The sequence below is a fragment of the Homo sapiens genome, chromosome 15, assembly GCF_000001405.40.
Source record: "Homo sapiens chromosome 15, GRCh38.p14 Primary Assembly".
Classification (NCBI taxonomy): domain Eukaryota; kingdom Metazoa; phylum Chordata; class Mammalia; order Primates; family Hominidae; genus Homo; species Homo sapiens.
In genome coordinates this window covers 78,045,363-78,064,066 of record NC_000015.10, presented here as the reverse complement: position 1 = coordinate 78,064,066, position 18,704 = coordinate 78,045,363, and the positions used below count along the sequence as shown (strand labels likewise).

Below are 18,704 nucleotides of genomic sequence, written 5' to 3'. Positions count from 1 at the left end.
CAGTGTGGGCCAGATTTCTTGACACTTGGAAGCCATGAGAGAGTTTTAAGCATGCGACATATATGACTTCATTGGCTTGGTGTCAGAAGAGAGTTTGGAGAGGAGAGACTGAGACAGCAAGTCCAGTTAGGAAGCTGTTGCAGAGGCCCAGGGGTAGATGAATCTGGAGACCCAGAGGCCCAGGGGTAGATGAATCTGGAGACCCAGAGGCCCAGGGGTAGATGACTCTGAGACTGTCAGGATGCATGAATCTGAGAGACTGACAAGGGAGTCCTTAGGAATAGGAGACCTGGCGATTCTATTATATCAGACTGGAGAAGTTTCTGTCCTCTCCATATTTGCTTGTGTGTGGTGTTGTTATTGCTCACAGCAGTCTATTTTTGAGAAACACCCTTAGAGCAGAGTTGTGATTAAGAGTGGAACCATGTTGGCCATCATAGACTGATGGTCATGCCCTCTCCCAGTGACACTATGCTGACCCCTCTAGATTTAATGTCCAGAGGACCTTCTCTACTGATGTGGGGACCAGCATCTGATATAGTTTTATTTGTCCCTGAAGCCAACCTAGAGGCTTTTATTTGAACTTTGCTATTGATTGAGGCCATCAGCATTTCAATATTTGAGAAAAACCATAGAGGAACTTGTGATTTCTGCTAAAATGCTGAGAGGATTGATTTTGTCTTGGACATGCTCTCTCATCCTTCCCCTTGATAGCAAGTAATGCAGACTCAGGTTTGAGTTTTGACTGTGCCAAGTGGCTATGAGATTTTGGGTAAACATGATAATATAGGTAGTTGATACACAGTGAGTACTTTGTGCCAAATACTCTTCTGAGCTTAACAGATGTTAAGTGGGTTATCATGGGTAAACATGATAATATAGACAGTTGATACACGAGTACTTTGTGCCAAATACTCTTCTGAGCTTAACACATGTTAAGTGGGTTATCGGTAAACATGATAATATAGATAGTTGATACCTAATGAGTACTTTGTGCCAAACACCCTTTTGAGCTTAACACATGTTAACTAATTAATTTTCAATACCATGAAGTAGGTTCCTATTATTATTATTTCAATTTTACCAGCAAGGAATCCGAGGCCCAGACAATTTATGTAACATACCTAACATAGCCAGCCAGTAGCAGAGCTGGGATTTGAACCTTGGTAGTTAGGCTCCAGGGTCCATGGGCAAGCAGATGATACTGTTTGGGGAGAGTTAGTTACGAGGGTTAAATGACAGTGTGTATAAAGCGAAAGCATAGTGTCTGGCACACAGTAATTGTTTAATTGATGGTGTCTAATATAATATGCAAATATATATTATGGAAGAGTCTATATAATTTTAATACAGTTTTATAAAGAAAATTGGTTTTCTACCAATTGGCTAGAAAATTGGTAGAAAATATATGGGTAGAGAATTTTCTATACATTTATGGGTAGAAAGATGTTTGGAAATACCAAAGTATTGATGGAGGTTATTTCTGGTGATGCAGCTATGTTCATTTTATTTTCTTCTTTGCTTTCCTGTGTTTTCCAAATTCTCCTCAGCAGATGTAGATTGTTATTATTTGAAATATAAGTCTAAAATATGTTGTTGTTTTTTAAAACTAAAGATTAATGGGATCTCACCAGACAAACAGGACTTCCCACAGTCCAGGAAGAGTGAAGAGCCCTGCAAAGCTATAGTGGTGTGAAACTCTACACCATGCTTAGTGACTTTGAAGTTGTTTGGTCTTTTTTCAGTTCGTCATTGTCTATTAATTTATTTGTAGTGTTTTAGACACATATTTTCTTTGCTTTGCTTTCTTTGTGGGTTTAGAAAGCCCTTTACCTTCCAAGAGAATAGAAATGTTAGGACAGCAGTTTCTTGTGCTGCTGGGGAGACTAATCAGCCCTCTTATAATCAGTGACTCCCTGCTGCCTGGAGACGGCTTGCAGGGTTGCCCGTGGGAGAAGCAGCTCCGGGGCTTACAGTTTGAAGTGTCTGTCCTTCTAGCTTTCAGTTTTGGGCTCGGTCTTGACAGAGTGTTTTGTTTTCCTCGTCTAGTGCATCATGGTGCACATGGCATTCATTTTCTGCATAGAGTCTTGTGGCTGCTGTTTATACTTCAGTTTTAGCTAAACCTTCCCGTGTGAATTTCTGCTGTGCCACATTGCTTGATTTAAGTCCTGTCATCCCTTCCATACCTTTATAATTTGGTGGAAATCTATACAACTGTTGTTGTAAGAGGCAGAAAGAGACAGGAACTTAATTTTAATTATACAGGCTTTTTTTTTCTAATTTAATGGTTTTTATTAAATTTATTAAATTCATTCATTTAATGGTTTTTATTAAATTCATTAGTTTATTAAATCATGAATTGAATTTGAAATTATTTTCTCTGATGATAGGTTTCTCACCCAGGGCATCACTTATTTTTTTTCCAGGTATTTGACCAGTTGTCCTAATGCTATTATATATAATATATATATAAATTATATATATATTTTTGGAGACAGGGTCTCGCTCTGTCACCCAGCCTGGAGTACAGTGGTACAGTTATGGCTCACTGCAGCTTCAACCTCCTGGGCTCAAGAAATTCTCCCACGTCAGCCTTCTGAGTAGCTGGGACTACAGGCATGCACCACCACACCTGGCTAATTTTTGTACTTTTTGTAGAGAGGGGATTTCACCATGTTGGCCAGGCTGGTCTTGAACTCCTCGGTTCAAGCGATCTGCCTGCCTCTGCCTCCCAAAGTGCTGGGATTATAGGTGTCAGCCACTGTGCCTGGCCTATTATTATTATATTTTTAAGAGACAGGGTCTTTTGTTTTGTTTTTGATATGGAGTTTTGCTCTTGTTGCCTAGGTTGGAGTGCAATGGCACAATCTTGGCTCACTGTAATCTCTGCCTCCCAGGTTTAAATGATTCTCCTGCCTCAGCCTCCCAAGTAGCTGGGATTACAGGAGTGTGCCACCACACCTGGTAAATTTATATTTCTAATAGAGACGAGGTTTTACCATATTGCCCAGGCTGATCTTGAACTCCGGGGCTCAAGCAATCTGCCTGCCTCTGTCTCCCGTAGTGCTGGGATTACAGGCATGAGCCACTGTGCCTGGCCTATTATTATTATATTTTAAAGAGACAGGGTCTTCTGATTTCATTTTGAGACAGAGTTTCACTGTTGTTGCCCAGGCTGGAGTGCAGTGGCGCGATCTCGGCTCACTGCAACCTCCGCTTCCTGGGTGTAAACGATTCTCCTGTCTCGGCCTCCCGAGTAGCTGGGATTACAGGAGTGTGCCACCACACCTGGCTAATTTTGGTATTTTTAATAGAGACGAGGTTTCACCATGTTGGCCAGGCTGGTCTCGAACTTCTGACTTCAGGTGATCTGCCTGTCTCGGCCTCCCAAAGTGCTGGGATTACAGGAGTGAGCCACAGTGCCCAACCAAGAGATAGGTCTTGCTCTGTCGCCCAGGCTGGGTACAGATCTCGGCTCACTGCAAACTCTGTCTCCTGGGCTCAAGGGATCATCTAACTTCAGCCTCCTGAGTAGCTGGTACTACAAGCACACGCCACCATGCCTGGCTAATTTTTTTTTTTTTTTTTTGTAGTGATGTGGTTTCACCATGTTGCTCAGGCTGGTCTCAAACTCCTGAGCCCAAGTGATTCACCCACCTGGGCCTCCCAAAGGGCTAAGATTACTGGCATGAGCCACTGCGCCTGGCCTCTGGATTTCTTAATTGGATACCTAGGCATTTTATGTTGATTGTAATTATAAACTTGTTTCCCACTGTTTATTGTTGGCATAAAGGAAAATGTTTGCTTGCGGTGAATATCTCAGAGGTAGGAATTAACCAGATCTCATCCAGTTCTGTATTCTTAGTGCTAACTACTGGACTTGGCCCAAGTTAGGCTCTTAATAAACATTTGTTAAGCAAATGAACACTTTATGTACATGGTGTTGTCCCTTTTTCCTCTTTTGGACTACTTTAGCTACATTCCCAGGAATAGAATTGTGGGTCAAAGAATGTGAACATTAGTATAGCTTCTAAAATGTGGTAAATTTTGATAGGTGGACATTGTTTACTAAAGGGAATAAAAGCTTAGATAAACTTGTTGTTTAGTGGAGATGATGAGGCCCGACTCCCTGTAGATGCTGCTGGGTTGCTACTCCAGCCCCTGTCCTCACAATCATGTACTTCCTGCTGAGAGTGGGCCCATAATATACGTGTATTGAAATCAGTTAACTTGTAATCAAACAACTTTATTGTGGGACTTGTCTAAGCATCAAGTTGAGAGCTGGTGGGAGGCTGAGGGGAGTCTCTGGGGCCCAAGAGGAGGAACAGGTGGCCAGGGCCTGTCTCACACAAGAGTGGGCTTCTGGGTTTTGAGCTACTGGAGACCTGGGGACAGCAGCTTGTGGGAGCAGCTGGGGCATCACATGGTACTTCTCAGCCAGCTGTCAAGGACTGCATTCCCACCTCAAGCAGAATGTGGATGGCTTGCTTTTATTCTCCGAGCTGGTGCCTCATGTCTTGGCCCCCAAAGGCAGCAGATGGCTGTCCTGTAGAATTGTGCCCACCCAATCCTTGTCTGCCCCTCTCCCTCACCCAGGACGTTCATGCAGCCATGTAGGAGACAACTACAATGGCTTTCCAAGATGTTCAGCTTGGTCTCATATTGGGATTGGTGCCATATTTGACCTGGGATTTCAGCAGTATTGAGGAAGTAGCAACAATTGAACATGAGAGGATGAGTCAGATATTTGAGTGTTTATATTCAGGACACTGTGCAAGACATCTTGGATCGTATTGAGACCAGCAGGTCTGGTCTCTGCCTTTAAGGAACTTGGGTTAGTGAGGAACACACAGGGAGTGCCCTCACCTCCATGGGAGGGTTACCTGGGCTACAAGATTCTCTGAGCTCCCTATTCAGAGAATGGAGACAAAATGTACACCCAGATCAGGGAAACCTGCTCTGAAGAGGTGGCCTTTGCATTGGATCTTGAAGGGTGAGTAGGAAGGAGCTGAGGAGACTGGTGTTAGGGGAGACAAAATGCACACCCAGGTCAGGGAAACCTGCTCTGAAGAGGTGGCCTTTGCATTGGACCTTGAAGGGTGAGGAGGAAGGAGCTGGAGAGACGGGTGTTAGGGGAGACTCAGGAGCTGGCCTAGGTAAGGCATCAGACAGCACACACCAGCACCTGGCTTCTTGCTGGGTGCTTGCCTGGCATCGGCTCCCAATTCTCTGCTGATCTGTGGAGCTCTGCCTTGTCACTGTTTCTTCTAGCATGAGTGGAATGCCTGTCTGGCTCTCCAGAACTTGGGACCACAGCATTTTGGTCATTCTGAGGGGTGGGGGGCAGATGGTGATCCTTCCCGGTCCTCACTCCTCCGGCGGGCGTGTCTTTGGTGAATGCTGTGTGGTCCTGGCCGTTAGCTTCTGCGCTGACTGGCTCATTGTCACCAGCTGAGCTGAGGCTCAGCGGAGGGAACTCCTGGTGATAGACCTAGCAAGGCGTTGTCTGTGCAGCCAGATCACTCAAAGGTCCTACTCGCCCCACTTTTGGAGCACTGAATAAAGGCACTATAGCTGGGGCCAGACCAGCAGATGCCTGGGTTCCTAAAGAATGTTGGCCTCTCCTTGGACATTAATGGACCATGGGGTGGTTGGAGATATGGAGGCGCCTGTTTAAAGAGAGAAGTTATCTTGAGTTGTAAAGTGCTGTAGAAGGGCAATGGTGTTGGCTGCCCCACACCCCCGTGGACCCCATGCCCTTGGCTTATGTTATAATCCTGAGGTACTGTTTCCTGCCAAGCCAGATCTCCCACCAACCTTGGCTCTCAAAATGGAATATATTTGCCATTGTAGTGTAGACCAGCACTGTTCAGTAAAGATAAGATGTGAGCCACATAATATACTTTTAAATTTTCAATGAGCCACATTAAACCAGTAAAATTAATTTTAATACTATCGTATTTATTCAGTGTATCCAAAAGATTTTATGTGGCACTGGCCATCTCTCATGTGCTCAGTAGTCACGTCTGGCTAGGGCTACTGTGTTGGTACAGGGCAGATCTGAACCAATTTCCTGGGACTGGGGCGATAAAGAGGCTGGTTTGTGATTATACATTTAATTAGGCCTGAGCCGAATCTCCATTTAGTCCTTTGCTAAAAGATACCAGATAAAAAACGCAGAGGCTTTTTGGATTTCTGCTGATTTTGCTGTGTTGTACTTTTAGTGGTGCTCAGTCTTAGAACCTGTGTGTGTTTCTGTCTTTGGGTTTCAGCTGTCTTCAGAAAAGGCCCTTTGGGGCTTTTCTGTCAAAGCACATGCCCCAGAGCCATTTCAGACAGTCTGGCCCCCAGCCTTTTACTAGCTAATTGGGGATTGAAGTCAAAAGTCTTCTAGTGATCTCTAGATTTTTTTTTTTCTTTGAGACAGAGTCTCACTGTCGCCCAGGCTGGAGTGCAGTGGCACCGTGTCGGCTCACTGCAACCTCCGTTTCCTGGGTTCAAGCAGTTCTCCTGCCTCAGCCTCCCAAGTAGCTGGGATTACGGGCACCCACCACCACGCCTGGCTAATTTTTAAAAATACTTTTAGTAGAGACGGGGTTTCACCATGTTGGCTAGGCTGGTCTCGAACTCCTGACCTCAGGTGATCCGCCTGCCTCGGCCTCCCAAAGTGCTGAGATTACAGGTGTGAGCCGCCATAGCAGCCTGTTTAGGTTTTTTTTTTGAAAGGAAACAAACCCAGTTAATCAGTGTCTTGATTAACTGACTTGTTAACCAGATTTTGCCCATCTTATTGACCAAATTTCTACAATATGATAAAATATCAGTCATTGAAAGCATGTGATCTAAAAGTTTTGCCTCAGGAATTTAGTGAGAGATGACTCAGAGGTTACTGATTGTTTCCCAGTTACATTTAATACTCAAAGATTTAAAGTGAAAAGGATTTCTTGTAAAAAGCAGATTTTTCATGGTGCCTGCATTGTCAGAGGCAGCTGGAGAGGTTGGTTCAGATATGCCCTAGTGAGTATGTGCCAGCTTCTCTAGCAGCCTGTGGCTCCCGAGCATAAATAGAAACACAGCTGCATATGCAGGCTGAACAAGAGGAAGTGTCTGGGCACCTCCCTGGCTGGAGCAGAAGGCTCCCAGGGTGCTTAGCTCACCTGTGGCATGGGGATGGAGGGGCCAGGTAGTCAGGGAGCTGGTGGGAGGACCACACACGCACATTCCCCCACCCAAACACACACTTGCCTCTAAGGGTTGGGGGTTTGGCAGACTGGGCTCACAGTATTGACTCCCTGTATGACCTAGACAAGTCACTTCCCTTTCTGGGCCTCTGTCCCCTCATCTGCAAAAAAAAAAAAAAAAAAAAAAAAAAAAAAAGAGGAGGACTGGGTGGGCTTTGGGCTCTGAATTTGGCTCTGGTTGTGTCTCTCAGTTCCTGACTTGCCTAGTGACTCTTCTCTCCCTTCCTGTGGAAATGCTTGTGTGCTCTTTGCCCCGCCCCAGGGCCAGGCTGAGCTCCTGTGTCTGCACTGCAACCAGCCTGCCTCCCAAACTCCAGGCTGCAATTCATGGATCTCCCAAGTGGGCTCACGGCCTCTGGCCTGAACTAATCTCCTCCTATGCAAACTGTGCACCTGCCTTTCCCTCACCACCATTTTCACCAGCAGTACCTTTGTCTAATAATGTCAGTGCCCTGCTAAGTTCCCCATTCCATCTCTTTAGGAAGGCACACAAGTCCCTTCAGGGCCAGGTCCTTGCCACTCACTGACCTCACCTCACTCCTGCTCTCTGACCTTTGTTCTTTTGTAGACACTTCTCTCTCTCCCTGGAATCTCTTTTCCTCTGGCCACTGCCTGCTTCCCCTTTAAGACCAAGTTCTCCTGTATCATTTTCTGATTATTCATTCATTCACTTATTCCTTCATATATGTATTCAGTAAATACTGACCTACTATGTGCCTGACACTGAGCTAGATGCTAGAGAAATGGAGACAACTTGGAGTTTGTTTCTTGGAGAAGATAGACATTAAACCTATACTTTGAAGCTTTTGAACCTGCCTATGGCAGGTGTCCTGAACTTTGAGTACCTTGTCCTTTGCTGCACCTCCCCTCTTTGGCTATGTGTCCTTCCCCAGTGCTCTCCAGTCACGCCAGCCCCGCGTCGCCTGCTCTGCTTTCTGTCATAGCACTTAATGCAACATGGAAACTACTGGTTGTTTTTTCCTGTCTTTCTCACTAGGCCAGGCCCCAGGTCTGGGTACCTGATAGGTGCTCAGCAAATGTTGGTTAAATGAATGGATGAAATGGCAACTTGGCTGGTATAGTTGGAAGAACTTTCTGTAAAATACCCAAAGATCCTGTAATGAAAATACCCAAAGATCCTTTTCTTTAACTGGGGCCAGGTGTGCAAGTATCACTAAAAAGACCCAGGTTGTGGTCACAGCACCCACAGGTTATCCTTTGCTTGGAGGTAGTAGTAGTTTGGTCTAGGGCTATCTCTTGCTGTCAGGCCTGCAGAGCCATTTTCTTCACTGCCTCTGATCTTGGCAACCACTGTGTCTGATGTCTGCACATGTCACTGGATGCCAGTGTTGATGAAGTTCCCATAATCGTGTCATGGCAGCTTTCCTTCTTCTTGGGACTCCTTTGCTGGGGGCAGCCTGGAGACCTTGACCCATACCTGCAGTCTAGTTTATTTATATTTAGGTTCATTGTTCTGGGTCCTCTCCCCCATCTTGGTTGATTTTTTTTTTAATGATATTCACTCTTTGTGTATATAATTCTGTGATTTTGGACAAATGTGTAGAATCATGACTTTACCCAGAACCATGATACATAGCAGTTCTGTCACCCACAAATTCTTGTGCTGCCGCTTTGTAGTCAGCTGCTCCCCTCCCTGCCAAGCCCTGGCAACCACATATTTGTTTTCTGTCCTGACAATTTTGCCTTCTCAGGGTGTTACATAAGTGGCATCATACAGTATATAACCATTTGGGTCAGGCTTCTTTCACTTGGCAATATGCATTTAATATTTATCCATGTAGTAGGAATCAATAGTGTGCTCCTTTTTATTGCTAAATAGTATATTATTGTATAGATGTACCAGTTTTTTTTAATCCTTTCTCCAGACAAAGTTCTCATTTTTTTTGGCAATTATGAATAAAACCTCTATAAACATTCACATACAGGTCTTTGTGTGAATATGTTTTCATTCCTCTTGGGTGGATATGTAGGGATGGGCTTGCCAGGTTACTTGGTAAGTGTATGTTTAACTTTATAAGGAATTGCTAAACTGTTTTCTAAAGTAGCTGCACCATGTTGCATTCCACCTGCAGCTTATGAAAGTACTAGCTGCCCTGCACCCTTGTCAGCACTTGGCATTGTCAACTTTTTGAAATATTAGCCATTTTAATAGGAGTGCCAGCTCGTTTTTAATCTGCAGTTTTCTTTGTATACTCTCAGATGCTGATGGAGTTTAAATATCATTATTTGATGTGATTTGGCAAGGCCGTCTTTCATACCTATGTCAGATTTTATTTTTGAAGATGGAATTTGTAGTTGCTCAGAGTAAAAGAGCAGCAGTATTATCACATCTTCCTAAACGGTTTTGAGGAAAATGTTATACTGCATTATTCTTTAATTTCAGAATTTAAAAAGACTTCTTGTTAATTGGGTTCAGTTCTTCATGTTACAATTGCTATTTGCTTGACCAACTCATCATGAGCAAAAGCTACTAATCTTGTAACTGAAGTTTCCTTGATCTGTTCATCTTAACTCTCACATGGCAAGCTGAACAGTCTACTCATGAGACATAATATTTTTTAAGCTCTTCATATTACTGGTGGCCATAACATGTTTTTCCCCTCCCTCTTTCTAGGCTCCCAATCGTCAACTCATGACTTACTGGTTACAGGAGCTTCAGCAGAAGAGATGGGAATATTGTAACAGTCTTGACATGGTCAAGTGGGACAGCAGGACCTCTCCAACTCCCGGGGATTTTCCTAAGGGTCTTGTAGCCAGAGATAACACTGGTAAGGCAGAAATAAAGGGGAGCTGGGTCAGTTCTTTGTGTAAGCCATTCGATACCACATATGAACTTAGCAGTGAATGAAAATGAATTTAGAAAGAAAATAATAATGATGCTACCTTATGAGTGGACAGCATTCCACAGTTACCCAGCGCCTCCATGTACAAAGCTTATGCAAGCCCAGTGACAGCCTTGGAATCAGGCAAGGCCAGTGCCAAGCATATGGAAGATACGACTAAGGTCAGCATGTGGTAAGTTGTGGTGCTGTAAGTCTAGTTCTGACTGCAGGGCCAGCCTTTCTACTACACCTAATGATGAAGCACTCATGCCTAGATAGTCATGCTTGGGCAGACTTGCCAAGATTGACAGGTGTTTGTATACACTAGGAAGGTATTCTCAGATCATTCCACTTGTAATTCTCTAGTGTTTCTTAGGAAGACTTTAACCTTCAAACATTGATTTCATTCTATCCTGGATTCATGGCATTTCTGTAACTCAGGGTAATCCCTGGCCATTTGCAGCATGGAGATAACCTCTAGAAAGAACAGAACAACAATTATTTGCTGCCCATCCTACCCCATTGCAAAGACTGTGGAGATGGGACTGTTTTTTGGCCCCCACTCTTCATACAGGGAAAATAACACATCCAGAAAAACAAACAAACAAACAAAACAGCCTCCTGAGCTCTGAAGTAAGGTCTAAAAAGCCCAGGCCATTGTATTAGTATTTTTGGAAGACACACGGAGCGTACATTAAAAGGAGTAGACAACAGTAAGGACTAGTTCTAACAGTTTCATAAAGAGATTTCTTCACTTCCTAAAACCCGTGGGACCCTCTGCTCAGCAGAACACAGGGCTGCATCCGAGTTGCCTGTCCCACCAAGGATGGTGTTGGCACGTGTGGCTGATTTACTCCAGAAACAAAGGCATTCTTAGATGAATTTTTCGTCTCCAAATTTGTCAGTCTTGTTTTTACTTGTCCCAGTATTTTTCAGCAGGTTAACCCTCTTATCAGTGATAAATTACTATATATGCTTTGTACCTATTAATATGTTTTCTGTGAGAGTTTTTGAGTCACTTTCACGACTGTCTTAGCGCTCTGACTATTCCAGGTTCTGAGATCATGCCTTTATTTTCAACTTTATGCGCCCTTATGTTTCGTTCAGAGTCGAGTCACTGTTAACTGAGTTGTTTTGAAAGCCACTCTTATAGTGCTTTTCACTCAAAAGGAGCTCCTAACTGAGTGTCTCAGTCACTTGGAACATTTGGAAACCCTGTGGGAACAGGCAGGGTTCATGAGCATAGCCAGTGCCTTTGGCACAGGAGGTGCTTGATTTGCCTCAGTTCCTTTGTTCTGAGGGCACCAAGTGCTTCTTTCTAGCAAAGACTCAGGGATATTAAACCGAAAGGAGGACAAAGAAGTAGTGCCTAGCCCTATAGTCTCTTTATAACAGCTGTCCTTCCTCCTTCTAAGCCAAAATGCTGTGATTGGAGAGCCAGAGAAAACATCTGAAGCCCATATTTGTTTCTCCTCCTTTGATATGGGGACTCCAGGTATGGAATTTAGCATTTGAGTAAATGCCACCTGACATTTACTCATTCATTCAGCAAAGTCGGCACTCAAGATGAGCTTTGTCCCTCTCCTCACAGAATTTCTAGTCAAGCAGGGTGGTTGTGCAGAGAAAAAATGAGAGAAATGTGAGGGAAGGGTGCATGCTGGTACCATGGGCTGTAAGTGGGCTGTGCATAGTTTCTGGCAGTTAGGGCCTCTCTGAGGAAGTGCATCTAAGCCAAGGCCTGGAGGATGGCCAGGAACTAGCTAGGTAGAGAGGAGGGGAGTCAGATGACAGGGCTGAACTGCAGTGCCTTCCCAGAGCTGCAGTCAGGATGGCTACTGGCTGGAAGCAGTTGTGGGGAGTGAGCTGAACCTGGGGGCACACCTGGGACCCAGAGCCAGAGCTGGGGGAGAGCCTAGACTGCTGGTCTTGGGATTTTGGACTTTAACCTAAGAGCAGTGGAGTGCCTTTGAAGATTTTATAGATAGAAATGACTGTAACATTAGACTTCTATTAATTTTTAGATAGCTTCGAAGAACAAGGAATGAAACTTTGGGCCCCAGAGCAGTATGTGAGGCTATAATGGTTCAGGAAGTCAAAAAATCTAAAGCAGGAAGTCAAGAAGAAAAGGCTGTATTTTAGCCCCTTTTGTTTTATCGTCAGAGATAAAATCTGGTTCAAAGATAAATTGTGATGTGTTATATGGCAGTGCTCTGTGAAGTTTCTAAAGCCATGCTTGTTGTTATCTGCTCAGCTTAGCCTACTCTAGTAAGAATTAAAGAAGAATGTTTTTATAACTGATTTGCATTAAAAATAAAACTTTTCCTAGTATTGTCTCGTAGTCACCCAGTTGTTTGGAACATTTTGATTTGTAGTCTAGTGGGCATCACCCATCAGGACCCTCCTAGCACCTAAAGTCAATATGGAGAAAGATATAGGGGATTAACGTTTTGCACTGATAGCTAGTTGTATATCTTAGAAGGCAGCTCTACCTGGTGGAAGAAGCCCTGTGGGCCTGTGAGTCTTGGGGATATTTACTAGTTGTCAGACTCTAAGTAAGTCACGTATCCTGTAGTACAGGGTTAGGAAACTGTGGCTCTGGGAATTGAAGTTTGTTCACCCCTCTTCATAGTTGTTATAAAGATCAAATGGGAAACTGCATTGTTAAGTGTAAAGAGCCATATGTATGTGTATATACACATATATATTGTATACATATATATGAGATGATATCATTTTGAAAGGGTTAGCATTATGTTTAGTTGTAATTAACAGGAAACCTTACTAATAAGGACTTACACATAGGGAGTAATTTGTCTCACATGATAAGCAGTTTGTGGCTGGCATAGCTACTCACTAGTGCCACTGAAGGGCCCAAGCTGTCTCTGACTCTGTATTTTCCATTGCTAGAGTGTATTAGCTTTCCTGCTCATGCTAGCTGCCCCTGGGGGTGGCACTTACATCAAAAGGAGAATGCTTTCCCAGAAACCTGTGGCTTATGCATCATTGGCTGGAACTGTCATATGGCCATTCCTAGCTGGAAGGAGTCTGGGAAGCCAAGTATTTTAGCTGAGCATATGGCCACGATCAAAACCAAGGTCTATAAGTAAGGAAAAGCTGGATTGAATATTCATTAAGGAGCCAGCACTGTCACATAGTTGCTTACATTAATTTTTTTTCTAGAATCTGTGTTGAGTAAGAGACTTTCCTGTGTGATTGGAACTTGCAGCTTTATTATTAGTCAGTATCTGTTCTGTCTGCCCTCTATTTTGTAGCCTGCCCTCTGAAGGCATGCCATGCCTCAAATACCATTCTACATTGTCTTCTGTGTCTGGATAGATAAAGACCTAGTTTCAACATAAAAGAGTAATTTGCATAAAGATACAATCAGGTGTCTATAAACCTTTATAGCTGTTGAGAATGAGGTAGCTAGAACCCAAAGGAGGTGCCCATAAATGGCTAATAGCCTCATTACAGGATGTATGTCTAGCACATTCCGTTTACTTCATTCCCCACATAAACTAATAAGAAAACAAGCCAGGGATAACAACACCCTGCTTTTTTAAAAAACTTCTTGAAAGTTCATGAGTACTAAAGCACTCATGGTCATAGCAGGCTCAAATGCCCAAGTGCCTGTTTGAATATGGATGGTATTTCTTGCAGAAAATTGTATTGTGAAGACAGTTTGAAGGATGACCACACATTTCCTCCCCTGAAGCAGCTGCATTGGTTAGTTGAACTGTTACACTTTTAACAGCTTGTGTGCAAGGGGATGGCGTGGGAGGAGTAGCTGTAACTTTCAGTCCTCAGGCAGCCTGAGCAGTGCTCTCGGTGCAGGATGCAGGGTGTAGAGAGCTGCCAGAAGGAAAGCCATCAGGTGGAATGCAGGCCCCGCGTTGGCAGTGCCACAGGAATTACACATCATCCTTTAATGTCGTGATTCCATACAGAGATCAAGGAAGCTGTGCTTTTGTGTAATCCTTGTAAAATGCTGCAAAATACCATGCGTTCTTGTGAAGTATCAGTCATGGTAGTTACCAGTGTTGTATCTGAGAGGCAGCATGGGGAGAGCTTATGGGACCTTGAGCACATCATAATTTCCCCATCTGTAAAGCAAGATGCTCTCTGAACCAGTCTGTGAAAGTCAGGTTGTGAAAGAATGTGACTGTGGGAGGGAGGATGTGAGGGAGATGCTGAGTGGGGTTAGATTGCAGTTCTGTCTCGGAGGAGCCTGCTAGAGAGGGTTGGAAAGGAGTCTATGTGGAACAGGCTTGCAATTTGGTGTCAGCAGAGACATCCTCAGCCTAGATTTGGTGGGACTTGGTGCAGGTGAATACAGGGATTGATGTGGCTGTGAATGGGGGTGGGGTGGTGGCTGAGCCAGATTGCAGGAGAACAGGGAGGAATGGGAAAGGAAAAGAGGGAAACCCCCACCCCAGGGAAACCCCCACCCCAATTCAGGGCATCTGTCAGAGGCAAGGTGGCAGGAGAGAGGAAAGTCAGGAAGTATGATGAGTATAAACCCACTCAAGAACTGCAGGGGCCTTTGCTGCCTTCTGCCCAATTGGCCTTTTGTCCCATGCCATGTTAGCAAGTTCTTGTCTTTTATGGATTAATTTGGTCATTTAACCAATATTTATTAAGTCACTCCTCTATGCTAGGTGTTGGATATGCAGCTGTTAGCAAATCAGATAGAGGTTCAGTTCTCACAGAGTTGTGTCCTTGATGGGGGTAGGGGACAGGCAAATGAGCAATTAACCAGACATATGGACTGGCCCATCCTGGGGCCTCTCAGGACCTGGTGGTTGGCTGCCCCTTTTTTCTGGTACTTAGATGTATGCTATGTCCTCACTTGGAAGATATTTCTATTCCTCCTGACTGGGTCCTTCACAATCTGTATTAAAACTCACATTGATAAATAAAAAAATTTTTTTCAGATTAAACCCACCCTGTCTTCCTCCAACTCCCAGTGTTGACACCCAGACTTTCGTTTGCTGTGTGCTTTGATGCATATGGGTACAACCCTTTCCCAGTGTTCTTTTCTCCTTTCTTGGATGCAGCTGCAAGCCTGGGTTGAGTTTTATGAGAATTCTCCCACTGTACACAGTTCTGTGCTCTGCAGAGGTTGCTGGCGGAGCACCTAGGCCTGACTGAGACAGCAGGAGAGGAGAGGGAAGACTCACTGAGGCAGTCCGGTTGTAGGCAGGAGCCGCCCCTGTGCGGGGAGTCCCATTAGGAGGAGACTTTGAGCATCATGTGTTAGAATGCAGTAAGTGGGAAGGGCTCTTGGAGACCAGGGAGGCTGAGACTGCCCGGGTTCACACTGGATTTAGAGGCAGTGCTGGAATCAGAACCTAGGAAATGGGAACAATGCAGTCGGAAACTCCCTCAGAGTTTTCATTTAGGCATTTGAAAATGTTTAAAAAAGACAGAGGTCTAAACACCAAAAACCGTCAGGCACAGACTTTCTTTCCCCACTGAAGCTGTAAGACAAAAGACATGTTCATGAACACTAGTCCAGCCTCTTAAAATCTTCGAGGAAATGTTGCCATGTCCTAGTTTGTGTTTTCCCTTAGTGTCCTCCTTGAGGCGGTTTCCTGCATGCTAATGTTAGGACATGTATTGAGGAGAAGCCAGCAGCTCTGCTTTTCATTAAGTAAATCTCACGTGGTCTCTTAAAAACCAAAAACCAGACAAAAATAACAGTAACAGCAAAAATGTATTAAGCTGGAAAAGAGCTTCTTTTTCAAGTCAGATAATTACTTTTAGAAATTTTCCTCCAACGTGTTCCTCCCTGGTCTCTGGTCCCTTTTCTCCACCCCTCCTTGGGGCCTCTGAGTTCCTCAGGAAGTATTTCCAGTATGGGCTGTGGGTTGCTGCAAGGCCTGGGGTTTTCTTGGTAATAGGCACTTTGCCACATGAGCATTTGACAGTCCAGTCTCGCAGAGGGGCCGTTCATCACCTTGCTACTAGCCCACACAGGAAGAAGAGGCTGGACTCAGCCTGTAACAGAAATCTGTACAGTTTGTTGTGTTTATTTCCTGACTTGGCTTAGAATTGTGATGATGATTGTAAGACCAGCCTTTGAAGTAAAGGAGTTTGAGCTGCACCTTTACCCCATGTGCCTGTAGACTGACACATGGTGTCACCAACATTGAGCACCCCCTGCCCCCCACTCCAGACACTGTGCTCTCTAGTAGGTACACTCATCTCTACCTGCCTTGCAATATTTGTATACTGCAGGGGCAGGTGTCTGGGTTCTGGCCCTGGCTCTGGACTCTAGTGTCCTGATGGAGAAAGTAGGTAGGGAGACTGGACTGGATTAGTGGTGTTTGAACTTTTTTTTCTTTTGTTTACTGGAACCTCTTTTCCAAATGAAATCTTAAAGGCAACCCTAGTATATAAAAGAGTGAAGGAGGAACTGCTGAGGATGAAGCTGAGCATGGGGCCCCCATCCTCTTTTCCCTCTAGAAGTCCCCCAGGCATCTCCTGGAACCCTAAGACTCACAGGAAGGGTCTGGATCCCAACGACTCAATGTATTTATTCTGTAGTGACTTGGAGCTTGACATGTTACTGTTTTACTTATGTCTCTCTCCTGGATGTGTTCTCCTTTACGGGGAAAGCTCTGTCTCATTGGTTGTTGTGCCCTCGGTGCCTAGTGCTTAATACATGATAGTAAAACCAAGAACTGGCAATCTGTGGTTATTTGTAACTTCTTGCCTCTTGACTCAAGAGGCTGCAGTGAGCCGTGATCACACCACTGCACTCCAGGCCTTAGTGACAGAGTGAGACCCAGTCTCAAAAAAAAAAAAAAAAAAGTGTATACTCTGTTACCAAGTCTGTAATTCTTCTGTTCCCAGCACACCGTCTTGCTTTTCTTAGTCAGAACCCTACTGTAAGCCATGCATTGACTCTCCTGGCCAGAGCCAAATTACCCTGATAGATACACAGCACTTGTTTACTCATGCCATGCCCAAGATACTTCCCCAGTGTGTTCTTGAAGCCCTTCCTACACTGATTGTGGTCAAGTCAGAACCTGCCTACACAGTGCAGGCCCATCATGTGGCATTCAGGACGTTGCTCTCCAAGCCTGCGCAGCACAGGAATGCCTGCTCTCTGTTTCCTTTACCAGTGCTCAGTGACCTTTACCAGAGACCTGTTCTTGCTGACTCTGATTGTGTGCTTCTCTGATTAGAAACGAATTTTTCTTGGCTGGGTACAGTGGCTTATGCCTGTATTCCCAGCACTTTGGGACGCCAAGGTGGAAGAATTGCTTGAACCCAGGCATTCAAGACTAGTTTGGGCAATATGGCAAACCCTGTCTCTACAAAAGAAAAAAAAAATACAAAAATTAGCTGGGCATCGTGCGTGCCTGTAGTCCCAGCTACTTGGTAGGCTGAAGCAAGAGGATTGCATGAGCCTGGGAGGTTGAGGCTGCAGTGAGTCGTGTTCACTGAGACCCTATCTCAAAAAAAAAAAGAGAAAATAATTTTTCTTGAATATCAGTGGTCAGCAGTCAATTCTGATTTCACAGAAAGAGATGGTTGATTTTGTTGATATAGAGATATTTTAAAAAGAAGTGTAGATCAAATTGATTATTGTAAAGTAATATTGAATTCTGTTTATAAGCATGTCCTATTCTCAGAGAGATTATGCCATTCGGCATGGGATAATTCTACCACTGAAATACCAGTGCAGATTATGTTATTTGGAAGAATACAAAGTATTTGTAGTTAGAAATGTTTTTATCAGCCGGGCACAGTGGCTCATGCCTGTAATCCCAGCACTTTGGGAGGCCGAGACGGGTGGATCACCTGAGGTCAGGAGTTCGCGACCAGCCTGGCCAACATGGTGAAACCTCGTCTGTACTAAAAATACAAAAATTAGCCAGGTGTGGTGCTGGGTGCCTGTAATCCCAGCTACTTGGGAGGCTGAGGCAGAAGAATCGCTTGAACCCAGGAGGAGGAGGTTGCAGTGAGCCGAGACCGCGCCATTGCATTCTGTCCTGGGCAACAAGAGCAAAACTCCGTCTATGGGGGAAAAAAAAAGAAAAATGTTTTTATCAAAAACAAAAAAATTTTAAGTAACTTTTTATTATGGGAAATTTTAAACATATACGAAGAATAACATAATATTACCTCTAGGTTTATTAGGTAGTTGGAACAGTAATTACCCCTCGTTTCATTGATACCCTGCTTTGTTATTTTCAAGCAAATAACATGTTACCTGAAGCAAATATTACTATGTATTTGTTAAGTAACAAAATGTTGCTATTTTGAAGTAAATCCTGACCATCATATCATTTCCACCTTAACTATTTCAAAAGTTTACATTTTAAAGATGTGTTGTGAAGTTTCATCATGCTTTAGCATCAGTATGTTTGCTTGTGAATTTACTGAACTGCTATTCTGTGATGTGCAAACTTTATTTTTTCACTGTCACTCTTTACAAGCAAATACATTTATATTTGTATTTCTCCCACTTTCTTAGAGAAAAGGGACCCTTGTATAATCTGATCTGCACCTTGCTTTTCTTATATAACAGTTTATCCTGGAAATTGTTTCTTATCAGTACAGGTGATTGGACTTTGATGACGGGTTTATGGTGAGGGTTATTGGT

The 18,704-nt window shown here is 44.0% G+C and overlaps 1 protein-coding gene across 14 annotated transcripts in view, besides 3 other annotated features; it reads left to right on the top strand.

The window, feature by feature from the left end:
- Positions 1–18,704, top strand: part of TBC1D2B (TBC1 domain family member 2B) — an 82,727-nt gene that overhangs the window by 13,645 nt on the left and 50,378 nt on the right. For 13 of the 14 annotated variants that reach the window (NM_001387143.1, XM_011521387.3, NM_015079.6 and 10 more), the window contains exon 2: positions 9,880–10,033. The exons of the other annotated variant lie outside the window; for it this stretch is intronic. In NM_001387143.1, the coding sequence (NP_001374072.1) occupies positions 9,880–10,033 (154 nt within the window). The remainder of the gene's footprint in view (positions 1–9,879; positions 10,034–18,704) is intronic. 14 annotated transcript variants of the gene reach the window in all.
- Positions 1,889–1,998: an enhancer, noted in NCBI's record as "active region_9902". NCBI's record gives its function as "activates an Ori minimal core promoter by ATAC-STARR-seq in GM12878 lymphoblastoid cells {active_cell/tissue: GM12878}" and the evidence as "EXISTENCE:reporter gene assay evidence [ECO:0000049][PMID:35858748]".
- Positions 7,063–7,182: an enhancer, noted in NCBI's record as "active region_9901". NCBI's record gives its function as "activates an Ori minimal core promoter by ATAC-STARR-seq in GM12878 lymphoblastoid cells {active_cell/tissue: GM12878}" and the evidence as "EXISTENCE:reporter gene assay evidence [ECO:0000049][PMID:35858748]".
- Positions 16,667–16,746: a silencer, noted in NCBI's record as "silent region_6701". NCBI's record gives its function as "represses an Ori minimal core promoter by ATAC-STARR-seq in GM12878 lymphoblastoid cells {active_cell/tissue: GM12878}" and the evidence as "EXISTENCE:reporter gene assay evidence [ECO:0000049][PMID:35858748]".